The 13,720-nt window shown below is 45.7% G+C and overlaps 1 protein-coding gene across 4 annotated transcripts in view, besides 1 other annotated feature; it reads right to left on the bottom strand.

Annotated features, from left to right (window-relative positions):
* Window positions 1–13,720, bottom strand: part of SMOC1 (SPARC related modular calcium binding 1) — a 152,951-nt gene that overhangs the window by 76,543 nt on the left and 62,688 nt on the right. For all 4 annotated transcript variants that reach the window (NM_001425244.1, NM_001425245.1, NM_001034852.3 and 1 more), the window contains exons 2-3: window positions 3,521–3,686; window positions 2,292–2,404 (exon numbers count right to left, since the gene is read on the bottom strand). In NM_001425244.1, coding sequence (NP_001412173.1) covers window positions 2,292–2,404; window positions 3,521–3,686 — 279 coding nt within the window. The remainder of the gene's footprint in view (window positions 1–2,291; window positions 2,405–3,520; window positions 3,687–13,720) is intronic.
* Window positions 2,243–2,744: an enhancer, noted in NCBI's record as "H3K4me1 hESC enhancer chr14:70419797-70420298 (GRCh37/hg19 assembly coordinates)". NCBI's record gives its function as "activates a minimal SCP1, AML or CMV promoter by ChIP-STARR-seq in primed H9 embryonic stem cells {active_cell/tissue: H9 hESC(primed)}" and the evidence as "EXISTENCE:reporter gene assay evidence [ECO:0000049][PMID:30033119]".

The raw sequence follows: 13,720 nt of genomic DNA, 5'->3' as shown, positions 1-13,720 counted from the left end.
ATGCAGTTTTAAATATATACAAAGATCACCCACATTCTTTTTACCAGAATAAACAGTTTTTAAAAAATTGATGGAAGAGTTCATCCATTTTCCAACTTGGGGATTTTCAACAAAAGGTTTGGTGGGTTTTTTTTTCTTAAGCGGTATAGTGGTATCGACATGATAGAAAGATTTCAGTAGTAGAACTACAGTAGAGATGGGAATAATCATGATGATAATGACAAAAATTTATATATTATTTATGAGTTCCAAGTGTTTCATGTGTGTTAACTGATTTTATCTTCATCACAACCTAATGAGGGAAGCTATAATAATGATCATTAACAATACTAATTATAGGAATATATAATATATAACAATTATTATTACATACAATAATAGTGAATAACAACAGATAAGCAATCATAATAATCAATCTCCACTTTTCAGATAAGGAAATTCTGACCCCAGAGAAGCTCGGGGACTTACCTGAGGGGTGGGGGCTGAGCTTCGTGCCCAGGTGTCCGGCTCCAGGAGCAGCACTCTAACCAGACCACCAGACTGCCTCCTTCCAGAACACACCTCAGAGCCTCCTTTAAAGCTGCCAGCTCAGAGAGCCAACAGAGTATGGAGGGCTTCTGAGGGCTCTGGACTTAGGGATTTGTGAGTCTGAACCCCAGCTCTGCCACTCCACATCCCACACCTGTTGCATCATCTATAAATGGGGATAATGACACCTACCTCACAGGCTTGTGGTGAGGCTTAAATGACAAAATGAATTAAAAGCACCTCTCCCAGGGTCGGCAACAAACGTCAGTTTAACCCAGTGACTATCAAGCCTGGCTGCCCATTTGAATCAACCAGAAAACTTTTAAAATGCTGATATCCAATCCTCAACCTCCTCATCCCTCTACATTTCTACCTCAACAGAAAGTTAGTCTCAAATCAGTAATCCACTGTGTCCCACCTGGAAATGATACCTGAAGCCCCTCAGACCAAAGACCAGCCTATATACCCTTTGCCACATTGATCGAGAATTACAGGGGAACTTTTAAACCCCTGAAGCCTCTGCCCCGGCTCTAAGACAACAGGATTCCCCCAAATGTTGTTTGATTGGACAAAGAAATTGCAGGTGCCAGGACCATTCCCAACCACTTGGCTAAGCTCATCCTTGTCCAGTGACCTTCCACACTTTCATCAGGACAGCACCTTCACTCAGCTGGCATCATATCTGACTCTCACAGAAGCTGCCCACCGCCCAGGCTGCCTCCCACCTCAGCCACAAGCCCCTGCATAGGAGGAAGCAGCCCAGAAGCTTTCCTGAGAAGCACCTTTCTGTCCCACCATTGCCTGTGTTTTAGAAATAGTCTGTGCCAAGGCCAGGTGTGATGGTTCACACTATAATCCTAGCACTTTTGGAGGCTGAGGTGGGAGGATCACTTGAGGCCAGGACTTTGAGACCAGTCTGGGCAACATAGCAAGATCCTGTCTCTAAAAAATAAGCTGGGTGTGGTGGCATGTGCCTACAGTCCCAGCTATTCAGGAGGTGTGGGTGGAAGGATTGCTTGATCCCAGGAGTTCAAGGCTGCAATGAGCTATGATTGTGCCACTGCTCTCCAGCCTGGAGTGAGACCCAGTCTGCAACAGATTGAGACCCTGTCTCCAAAAAAAGAGAAGAAAAAAGAAATAGTCTGTGCCAAGATCAACACAGTCAGCATTACTTTGACAATGCACTAACCAGAAGATCATGCAAGATGAGAGGTAGGACTGCCTGACTTAGGTTTTAAAATCTGAGTATATGCATACCTGTATGTGTATACACACACACACACTCACACACTCCAAGAACCATAGTACACTTTGTGCTCAAAGAGGGCTCTGCTTCGTTCAAGGACTGGGGATAGAAAGCAGGGAGGGCAGGGGGTAGCAAAAAACAGGGAAGGGAATACCAGGGTTGCCCATGGAAACTGGCAGGAATAAGAAAAATAATCAGCTCACATTTAACAGAAGAGAAAAGCACAGGTCTGGCCCTCCAAGGAGACAGACGGCAGGGAGGATGGGGACCAAGCAATGCCAGTTTCCTGGCTTGGGCTTCCATGCGTCTTTTCAGGACCTACTGCCAGTTGGCAAGAGGTGGCATGGAGGGACGGGGAGGGCCAGAGAGGGGGAAGGCAGCACAGAGGGGAGTTGAAGAGCCACTCACTCAACTGTTTCCCAGAAAGTGAAGGCGCCAAGCAGCCCTCGCGCTCTCGGGACACCTCCCCTCTGCCTCGGTCCAGGAAAGAGCCCAAGAGGATTGTCCGAGGCCTCACCTGGGTAAAGGAGCCATCCTCGCCACACTCTGGGACAAACACAGCTTCCTGAGGCTTCTTGGCTTGCTCCAGGGCTTGAGCCCGCTCCAGGCGACACTTGCTCTGGCCAGCATCTGAAAGAGGAGAGGAGCAGATTTCATATTTCACTTGGATTCGACACTGGGGCCGAGGGACAAAATGGCTGAGAAAACCACTCCACCTGTGCGGGAGCCCACACACAACTAACTGGCTTGTCCAACCCTAAAAGGGCCGTGGCTAGTAACTGCTGCACAGCCCCCCTTCCCCGTATGTCATTCATAGAAAAGCAGAGGATTCGTGTTTATCCCAAGTTCTGCCTGTCTTTTCTCCCAAGTACCTCTACCCTGGCCCCATAGAAAAAAAAATGTTTTAGTTCCATGATTTTTCACTGGGTTTATTCTAAAAGTGGTAAGCCTAACAGGGGCTCAACCATGTCTTATGGTTCAAGAATTGCAACCATTTTCTTTAGAAAATCAGAGGCTCTAGCGCAGCCTGCTTAGCCACCTACAATTCCTGTGATGGCTCTAAGCAGTCCGGGGTCACAAATTCAAATACGTACAGGACTCAGGAAAAAGATATAAATTAGAGAAACCAGCCGGATATGAGAGGAATGACATTCAGTTCTGAGAGACTATAGGGAGTGCTGTAAGACTGTGGCAAACTGGACAACAGGCTCCCCTTTAAAGCGGTAGCTGTTATGCAGGTCTAGCCATGTGTTGCTTTGTAGGAACACAGACCTAATGTTACCAGACCTTCCAATTTTGGAAAAGAAGGACAAAAAGCCAGATTTTTTTTCTTTGAATCTCCCAATTTTTAAATGTTATCCCAAATGTTTTTTGCTGTTTTTAAACAGGCAAACAGACCAAACAAAACACATCTGTTGGCCAACAATTTGGAATCACTATTCAGGAGCCAGCAATAATGTCTTGCGGTTTTAAGCATCTCCATAAAAAGAAAAAGGAAAGCGCTGGCCAGATAGCAGCACATCTCTTTAAGCCCTAGCCTGGGGGCAGTGTTTGAAAGATAGAAAAATGCTCATTCCTTCAGGTAGACCAGGCTTTCTTCCCTTGGCCCTGGTGGAAGGGGTGGAGAGATAGGAAAGCAAAGTGAGTGGACAGACTTACTCCAAGCTTCCCTGTTGCAAATGCATAGTGAGGGAGCTGGGGTGCCCAGGAACCTCTCCTTGGCTGGGCAGGGGTGCACACACTCACCTTTGCATCTACCTCGATGCACCACGCCCAGGGTCGGGTCTCGGCACTTGGCTCGCTGGTACTCACACATGGACTCGTAGGACCTGCCATCAGAGGCACAGATGGGTTTGGGTTGAGTCCTGGAGCAGTGGAGGTTGCACTGTGGGTCACGGTCACTTATTAGAAACTAGGTTGGAAAAAAGTGAAAGGGTACAGAGGTTACTTTTGCAAGAAAAGTAGGGGCGAGTCCATGACTTACAGTACTTGTTTGCCTTTAGAAAGTAAGTCCCTAATAAACCCAAATAAAACCCTAAAGGTGAAGGGAACGGAGCAGCCACAAAGTCTAACCAAGGAAGGCATCCTCTATGCATCATAAGAACAATAATGTCTAACAATTACTGACCATTAACAGGCATTGTGCCAAGTAATTCACATCCAGGATCTCAGTCCTCACAACAACCCTATGAAATAGAAACTCTATTCTGTAGACAAGGAAACTGAAGCCCAGAGACGTAACTTGCCCAGTGTCACATAGCTATAAGCAGTGGAGGCTGAATTAGAACCTAAATCTGTCAGAAGTAAAATCAAAGCTTTATCCTCTAGGATGTCCAGCCTCTTCATCCATGCAGATGGCCATGCAGCCTCTATTTGGGTGTATCCTCAAATCAGGAATATACCATAAATCTCCAAATTCCATCTCGGGAAAGTTTTATTTATTAGATCGTAGTGAGCTCCAAATCTATCATCCCTCCAATTTTTGCCCACCTCTCTCTGGCAGAATACAGAAGTTAAATAATTTTCTGTGAGAAACAGATTTCCTGATTTTTAAAATAACAACAATAATCAGCTTGGAAAATGCTGAGTTAAGCAGATTTTCTTGGTGAAGGGCTTCTCAGATGACTCTGATACATTCTTATGCATTGTGAACCTCCAAGACGCATAGTAAATTAAAGACAGCTACAAATTATTTGCTACTCCTCTCATTGAGCTATGGAGTCTAATTTCCTCTCCCTTGAATCTGGACTGGCCTCAGAAACTTGCTTGACCAAGAAAATACTATGGGAGTGGTGTCTGGGGACTTCAAAGTTAGGTTACACGAAGCCTTGCAGCTCCTTCCTGGGCCTCTTGTAATAATCACTCTTGAGGAAACCAGCTGCTGTGTAAGAAGCCTAACAACCCTGAGACCACCATATTATGAGGAAGCCCAAGTTTACCCATGTCAAAACCATGCAGACAGAGAAATGCCCAACCAACCCAGGCACAGAGACATGCTGAGTGAAGAAGCCTTCAGGTGAGTCTAGTCCCAGCTGTCATCTAATTGCAACTCAGAGAGATGAAAATAAATAATTGCATGAGAGACCCCAAAGTCAGAACCACCCAGCTGAGCCCAGTTAACCCACAGAACTGAGAAAGATTATAATAATAAATTGTTTTAAGCCGTTAAGTTTTGTGGTAGTTTGTTACACAACAATCGACCAGATCAAGGGGCATATACAATGAAGCATCTTCCAGTTACTTAACCATGAACCCCTATATCAGGGAACCCCCTGTTAACAACAACAGAATACAGTTGGAGAACAATAATTGGGCTATTACAATCCATGAGCTTCTGCTCCATAACCCATGATTAGATTGTACAGGCCTTGAGACCTGGGTCCACCCTTATCTACTCCCATATAGCAGAGTCCTGAGCACACAGAATGAGGCTCTTCATCAGATTGGGTTGAGGGAATGAATGTCCCACAATAATGAATGGCAATGTCATGAGCACAAATCAGGCCATCGGTAATCATAGAGTTGACTATGTAATCAAACCAAGCTCATAGAGGTTTTGGGAAGGTGTGAACACAAGCTCTGTCTCTAATGTATTTGTGGGCCCTTTGTGTGAAGCAAATAGATGAGAACTTGTTGACCCTTTTCTAGAACAGCAGAGAAAGTTTCAGAGGTAGTACCACACCCTTCAAGGGAGTACTGGAAATACACACCCCACACTGGCCAAACTCAAAGAGGGCCCGAACCTGTCCATAAATACACAGACCACATCCCAGCTATAAAACCAGTCCCTCCTTGGGACTGGACCTCATGCCTGGGTGCTGGCTGCCCAGCACAGGGATGGAGCAGCTGAGGGCTGAAACCACTGCACAGGCCTTGTCCAAATGGACAGTGAAATTGCGCTTTCTCTTCAGACACCTTGGGCTCCCACGCACTCACAGGTCACACCTGAATCTTGCCCAGGGCCCAAAGGGAAATATCCAGATAGTGTCTCATGAGCACAGCATTTGATAGAGTCCAGTGCTCAGGGGCAAAAATAAATAACTCAGATCATCATCTCCAGAGAAGCCCACTGCCTCCAGGGCTGCCCCACAGAAGAGGGGTGAGCTGACGGGGAGAAATGGGAGAGGACAGCATTGTTCAGTCAAGCCCTGCACACGATCCCCAGCCTCAACCCCCCTCGAGTTGCCCCTGCTTTAAACCCATGAGCTCGGGGACCCTTACATCGTCTCCCCGGCCTGGTGAGAATCAGACCCGGGGGCCCCTCTCTGGCCCTTTGCTCTCTCTTCCCTGCTCCCCCTTGCTCCCTGCTGGTGGGGCACACGGGCCTGCTTCCCATTTATCAAATGAGCTACCTCTGCTGCTACTTCCAGGCCTTCAGGCACGCTGTTCCTTCTCCATTCCCTCCCACCCTGCTTCGGATTTTGGCTCAGGCGGTCTCTTCCAGGAGGTTCTCCCTGACTCTCCCAGGTGAGGACAATCTCCTGTAATACTCTCTCACACTTCATTTTTCCTTCATGGCTCTTCACACAGTTTGTAATGAAGAATTCATTTGCATGATTTGGTTACCAGTGGAATCCCCAGCTCTGAGCTCCATGAAGATGAGAACGATGTCTGCTTTGCCTGTGAACACCTCCCCCGAGCATCTAGCACAATCCTGGGGCCCTCCGTCATGTGTGGGAGGAGTGCAGCCCTGTAGCAGCATCTCATGCCTGCCATTCCCTCAACACCTGCCAGTGGGACATCACAGGCCTGGCTTTCCGGGCTCCTGCCACCCCCAGGGATCGCTGGGGCCACTCCTCATGCCCCTGTGCTTACAGCCTTGCCGTCCTCAGCCATGTTCTCCCATCCCACTTCTGCATTGCACGTGGGCAGAGGTGGCCCAGAGCCTGCCATCTTTACTCCACCTCAGAACAAGAACTCTCATCAGGAGTGTCTTGAGCTGGGCCTGACCTCCCTGGAGGGCAGGGCTGTCTCACCTGGATGTTCAGCATCTGGTGTCTGGCACACAGAGTAGGTGCTTGGTCAACAGTTTTTGACTTTGTGAAGTCCTTTTTGCAGGTGGGCCGGTGTTTCTGTTTGTTATAATGAAAGGCAGTGGGACCTAGTGATTAGAAGCTTGGCTCTGGAGCCCAGCCATGGGTGTCAGTACCAGCAACAGCACCCACATGCTGTTTAACCTTGGAAACGTTGCCTAGCTTCTCTGGGCTTTTAGTTTTCTCATCCGTAAAATGAGAGTAGTAACAAGCCTTGCCTCATAGGGTGGTGTGAAGATTCAATTATTAACATATCCTAAGTCACGTATAAGTTCTTGTTCATCTTCTTTCTTTGGAATTTAATTGAAGGGGGGCGTGGTTTAAGAGAACACACAGAAAAAAGAGGGAGAGGAAGACAAAGTTTCTTTTCAAACCCACTGAGGTTGCCTAGTTGCCTATGCTGCAGCTCACAGGACAGGAGAGCTGCCAGCATCCCCGTGAAGTTGAACTACAGGCCAAAAAATCGGTTTGAAAATGGATTGCTCTACACTGAGAGAGAGGCCACAGCAGCTGTGCCAGAGACCAGCTTCCTAACAAGGGGAACACTCTGTCTGCAAACAGACAGGTTAAAGAACTTCAGAGGCCCCACCCATCCCAACACACAGAGATCATTCTCAGCTTCAGAAGAGCACCCAAAATATTCCTGTCTAGAAATTACTGGTCCCTAAGGCCAAATAAAAAGTTCAGAGATAGCATGGGGTCATTGACAATCTTCAATCAATTATGGTGTCACATTTTCATCTGTTTTAGGAACTGTGTGTATTTGTGATTGTTTTCACACACACAAAAAGTGAGCTCTATAAAATGAAGCTTTAACCAGATGACTATGCCCTAATAAGATCACCCAAAGCTCCAGGGCCCCAAAGGGATTACTCTGTGTCCACAAACCCTCCAGTTCATTCCTTCATCTGTTCAACTGCTCTGTACTCAATAAGTGATCACCAACAGTGAACCCAACACCGTACCAGCATAGGAAGCAACATGTAACCAACATGGTACCCACCCTCAGTGAGATTACCATTTAGGGTGGAGACAAGGAGCATGTTAACAGGACACCATGGAGCTATTAAGATAAAGGCAATAAGAGGAAGACTTAATCCTAGAGACTCTGGAACGCTCCGAAGCCACACAGTTCAAAAGAACTTCTCACCATGATGGACATGTTCTATATCTGTGCTGTCCAGTACAGCAGCCACAAACTACATGTGGCTATTAAGCACTGCAATGTAGCTAGTGCAACTGGGAAATCAAATATTTAGTTACGTTTAATTTTAGTTAATTTAAGTTTAAACGACCACATGTGGCTAGAGGCTACCGTATGCAACAGCCCAGTTATAAAGTAAAAAAACCAAGAGGAGAAGAGAGAGGAGGGAGCGTAGTCTTCAATCGAATTTTTCTCAGTTGAGCCAGGTGAAGACTGATTGAGAGAAAAACAAAAAAGAGAAAAAAGAAAAAGAAAAAAGAAGCTGATCTGGAGAATAATTTCTGCATTTTGAAATTAGACAGTATGTTAGGCCATTCTTGCATTGCTATGAAGAAATACCTGAGGCCAGGCATGGGGGTTCACACCTGTAATCCCAGCACTTTGGGAGGTCAAGAAGGTGGGATTGCTTGAGCCCAGGAGTTCAAGACCAGCCTGGGCAACAGAGAGAGACACTGTCTCTACAAAAAATTTTAAAATTAGCCAGGCATAGTAATGCATGCCCATGGCCCTAGTTACTTGGGAGGCTGAGATGAGAGGATCACTTGAGCTAAGAGGTGAAGGCTGCAGTGAGCCATGATGGTACCACTGTACTCCAGCCTGGGTGACAGAATAAGAATGAAAGGAAAGAAAGGAGCAAAGAAAAGAAAAGAAAGAGGGAGTGAAGGAAGAAGGAAGGGAGGGAGGGAAGGAAGGAAGGAAGGAAGGAAGGAAGGAAGGAAGGAAGGCCGGCCTGAGACTGGGTAATTTATAAAGAAAAGAGATTTAATTGCTCATGGTTCTGTAGGCTGTACAGGAAGCATAACACTGGCATTTGCTCTGCTTCTGGGGAGGCCTCAGGGAGCTTTTACTCAGGGCAGAAGGTGAAGCAGGAGCTTGCATGTCACATGGCAAAAGCAGAAGCAAGAGGGATGGGGGGTGGATCAAACACTTAACCAGATATCACAAGTACTCACTATTGCAAGGACAGCACCAAGCCATGAGGGATGCACCCCAAGGACCAAAGCACCTCCCACCAGGGCCCACCTCCAACATTGGGGATTACATTTCAACATGAGATTTGGGTGGGGACAAATTTCCAAACTATGTCAGATAGAAAATCAGTTCACTATTTATGGGTCAAAACCAGGATATTCCAGGAGTTTGGAGTCGCTCAGGAGCAATCACGGTTGGTGGAAATTTGGGGGATTGGGCAGGAGCAAGCCATCTCTCCAACAAGCCAAACACTGAGACATTTCCTCCTAGAGGGAAATAGCAGTTTTACAGAAATCTTCACTTATATTCCTTTCCTTCTTCCTAACCAAAAGACATTAAAAATAAAATAATAATGTTAAATATGATTGCATAATACAGAAACCAAACAAAAGGAGCTGGGATAATTGTATATCTGCAGTCGTCTCTCCTACCCATTCTCCTTGCAGAGTGGATGACTCCAAACACTCTGTGTTTTGTTCACATTTGTAAAGTAGGATGGATACTTGATATATACATAAACAAGTCATTTTTCCTATTGGAAAAGTAAGCTACTGACTGGGGGCTGCCTTTGCCATGGAGGAGATCAGGGTAGATGAAATCAATTTTAGACTAGTCATCCCCTCCATCTGAAATGCACACATGCTGATTCTTCCCCTTCAGTCTCCAGCATAGTAGAATGGAAGCCCTGCCACACAGCTTTTGCTCAGGGAGACCATCCCAATACCACAAGCTGTGTTAGTTTTGACTGACTGCCAAGTTTCCATGACAATATAGGGAATAAAAGAGCCAGCCTAAGGTTCCATCTGGGAGGAGATGTTTAATTCTTTATAATATAGACCTGTTCTCACCCTCTTAACTTCCACCTGTTAGTATAATGCTGACTTAACCAATATCTAAAATCTAAACAGGTATTTTTCTGGTAATATGCATACTCGTATATTTTTCCTGGGTGTAGAGAAGGAGACGATAGCCATGCTAAACAACCATGTCAGTGGTCTATCCACTGGATTTGGGAGAGTGAAGTCCACAATTTGGAGCAGCAAGTGACATTTCTCTCTGTGATACCATACTCAAAAATCACAGGCCAAACTCAAATTAATTTTAGGTTTTTCTTTAATAAATTCATATGTAACACAGCTTCAAGTACTCACTTTCAACCTTTTTGCTTCACTTATCTATTGGAGCAAAACAAATCACCCCTAAACTTAGCAGCTTCAAACCACAATTTATCATTTTTCATAATTATGTGGGTTGGCTGGGCTCAGCTAGGAGGTTCTTCTGCTCCACATGGTACCACCTGAGGTAACAGATTTGACTTCACTCAGTTGGGAGCTTGGCTGGGGCTCTGTCTCCAACAGGCTTTCCTGTCTTATCCATGATGACTTCATTTAGTCCTTTATCTCTTGCCTGGGCGTTTGATTCTTTGGCACCAAACTTCTGCCCCCATCCCTACCCCTAATCCAAGTTCAAATTCCACATTGCCACTGAGGTTATCATCCTAAAAAGCAAATACTTTCATATTTTAAACACCACCATTAGCTTCCTTGGCACTCCTGCTGCACTGTGTTTATACTTCTATCAAAACCCTCGATATACTGCATTATCATTTATCTATTTACACGTCTATAAAAGATTGTGTCTTATTCCTCTTTATATACATAGGGCGTAACACAGCACCTTACCAAAAAAGTTTGTTCAGTATATGTTTGAGGAATGAATGAATGAATATCAAACCTTACCTAAAATATATCATGAAGAAGTAGCTCTTTTTTCTGTCACTTACTGTGAAAAGAAATATTCTTTGTCCAACTACCAACAATACCTTAAAGCTCTCAAATGTATAGTGATTAAAGGTATTTGTTCCTTTCTTTTCTTTAAAGGAACATCTATCTCTTAGATAATAAAAGTCACATCTTAAACATGGTATTTTTTCCTTGGAATAATGGAAATGAAAAAAATCTCTAAGAGGATATACCAGTATGGCTGAGATAGTACCCATATATCACTAAATCATCATGGAATTCATTCCCAATGAACCTGGCCTTAGCCTCCAGGAAGCCTTTCCACCATCCCAGAGATGTCATCTCACCCATAACTCGGGCAGTATCTGAGACTCTAGATTGATGAGCCTGAAATTAATATATGTCAAGGTGGAAAACTCTGACAATTTAACGGCCAATGTGATTAGCACTCTAGTTTTTCGGGCAGCTACCATACGCATGCACTTGAGTAAGAACAATAGCCAGATGGAAAAAAAAATCAGTTATAAGTCAATTTTTTGACACCCTAAATTCATTTTTCTATAGCCTCAACATCGTAAATAATGGTGAGTTTTCTCCACCTGCAAATGTCCAATCTGCAAATGCCTATTTGGAAGGAAAGGGAAGGAGAACAATCCATACATGTATGCCTGCTGGGTGGTAACAGGCAGGGCAGAAACCACAGCCCAGCTCTGCAGCTCCTTCCTACCTCTGGACTGTGCACACGCCGGCCCCTTTCCCTGGAATGTGCTTCCACCTGATGAACTCCAATTCCGGGGTAAATGCTGCTGCCTTCCAAAACAGGTCGGGATCCCTGTAATGAGCCCCCAGAACACCCACTATGGTCCACTGTGGCCTGTGCCATAATTGTGATTAAAATGGCCCATCATTTAATTTTACATTGCTTGTCCATGCCCCTCCACCGGACTGTAAGCTCCCTGAGGGCAGAAACCAAGATCTGGGTGTGACACTGCTGCATCCCCAGTGCCCAGATGAGGCATTTAATCAATATGTATGGCTTGAATGAATGAGGAGAAAACCGAGGCTGGGCAAGGTTAAGTCAGTAAGTGGTAGAGCACTCCTCTCAGTCTGATCCTCACAGACCAGATTCTTTCTTCCACACCACACTGCCTTCCTCAATGTAGGGATATCAGACACTATGCCCCAGATGCCACTGAGGGGCAGAAAGGGCTTTGCTGTCAGCTCTGGCAACAGTGGTTTGGGTCTATAGTAGTTGCCCCCAGGAGAACAGAAGAGGAGAAGGGCACCAGAAGCAAAAAGAGCTCTCCCAAGAGAGGGGATGTTTTTCTGTCTTGTTTGTAAATCATGGTCCAGCTCAAGTTTTTAGAACTCAAGTACTAAAAAGCATTTCTGGGAGGTAAACCTGCTATTGAAAGGGGGGGGAAAGCCACTCTTGGAGCCAATGCCTGGAACAAAAAGCAGAGAATCACATTCCAGACGTCTAGCTGCGGCTCAGCCGCTTGCTCTCCAACCTGGGACTGTTCGCCTCTCACCACGTCCTTCACCATCTGCAAAACTGGACTTTGGCCTTCTTCTCTGGGGCCTGCATCCTTGGGAATGGAGAGTAGTTTCCCATTAAAACATCACTCACCCACCCACTATCAAATTCGTCATCTGCATTAAAAATCCACATCCCTATATCTGCCAGCTCGCTCTCACCCTTCCCTGACCCCATGACCACTGAATTTACACAGGTGCAAAGAAGGGCCTCGACCTGCTGGCTTCAGAGGGGGGCTCCGTGAAGATGGAAGAGGGAAGATAAGGGAGGTCAAAGGGAAAGAGAGGCCTGCCAGCAACAGCAGCATCTGCTCTTCCTCCACACACCTCTGCGACAGAGCCTGACAGCAGCATGCCCGATTAAAGGGCTTTTCACGCTGCTGAGGGAAAGCAGACACCCCCTCCAGCTGTTGGGCAGCTGGAGCCACTTCTGTTGTTTTAGCCAGGAGAGGCCTGACCTTCATCACCCCACCACCACCCCCTCCCCAAGGGAGGAATTTAGCAGTCACTTCACCCCACCCACCCGACTTCCCTCCTCCACTGTGCCCCCCACCACCAGCAGCCACAGGGATGATGGGCCAGGGCCCAGGGGAGAAGGCTCTCTTACACCAGGTGCCACTGTGTAGGAAGGCAGGAGAGAGGAGAACCCATGGGTTTGACAAAGCAGCTGAGACCCTGGATCTAAAGAGACCCTAATAAGAACGCAAACGGGGCCAAGTTAACCTACATGCTCCCAATCCACACAGAGTCTGTCTGCAGCCCCAAACCCATGCTCCTTCTCAATCTTTCAGAAAAGCAGGTGCACATAAAGTGAGGGTTAAGGCCCAAGTCATCAAATTTCCAAAAAAATAAAAATAAAGCATTATTCCAAATGAAAGAAGCCAGACTCAAAAAGTTATATACTATATAATTCCATTATGTGACATCCTGGAAAAGGCCAAACCAAAGTGACAGAAATTGGATTAATGATTACCAGGGACTGGAGATAAGGAGAGAAGCAGGAGAACATGTTTGTGGGCGATGGAAATATTCTAGATCTTGATTATGGTAGTGGTTACACAACTATATAAATTTGTTAAAATTCATAAAAGTGTACACCTAAAAGGGGTCAATTGTACTCCACGCAAATTACAACTCAGCAAACAAACAAGATAAAAACAATAAACACAAAACTAAAGAAAAAATTCCAAAGAATGTTTGCTTTGAAGGGCACATCAGACACCCCCATAGGCACTCAGAGAAGTTTCTGGCGATTTCTCTGCCCACCCCCTTTAATACAAGCCACCATGCTAGGTACATTGAGGATTATGAAAATAAACAAGAACACAGGCCCTGCCCCTACAAGCTGATCTAGTTGCAAAGACTGACATGTGGACATATCTCCACTGGGGCTGCATTTTTGAAACCAGGAAGCAAAGCCTAAGTCACAAACAAACAGATAGGATATGGGAAAATGGGA

This window comes from Homo sapiens, chromosome 14 (assembly GCF_000001405.40).
Source record: "Homo sapiens chromosome 14, GRCh38.p14 Primary Assembly".
NCBI classification, from domain to species: Eukaryota; Metazoa; Chordata; class Mammalia; order Primates; family Hominidae; genus Homo; species Homo sapiens.
The sequence above is the reverse complement of the archived record's forward strand: the minus strand, read 5'-3'. Positions and strand labels throughout refer to the sequence as shown.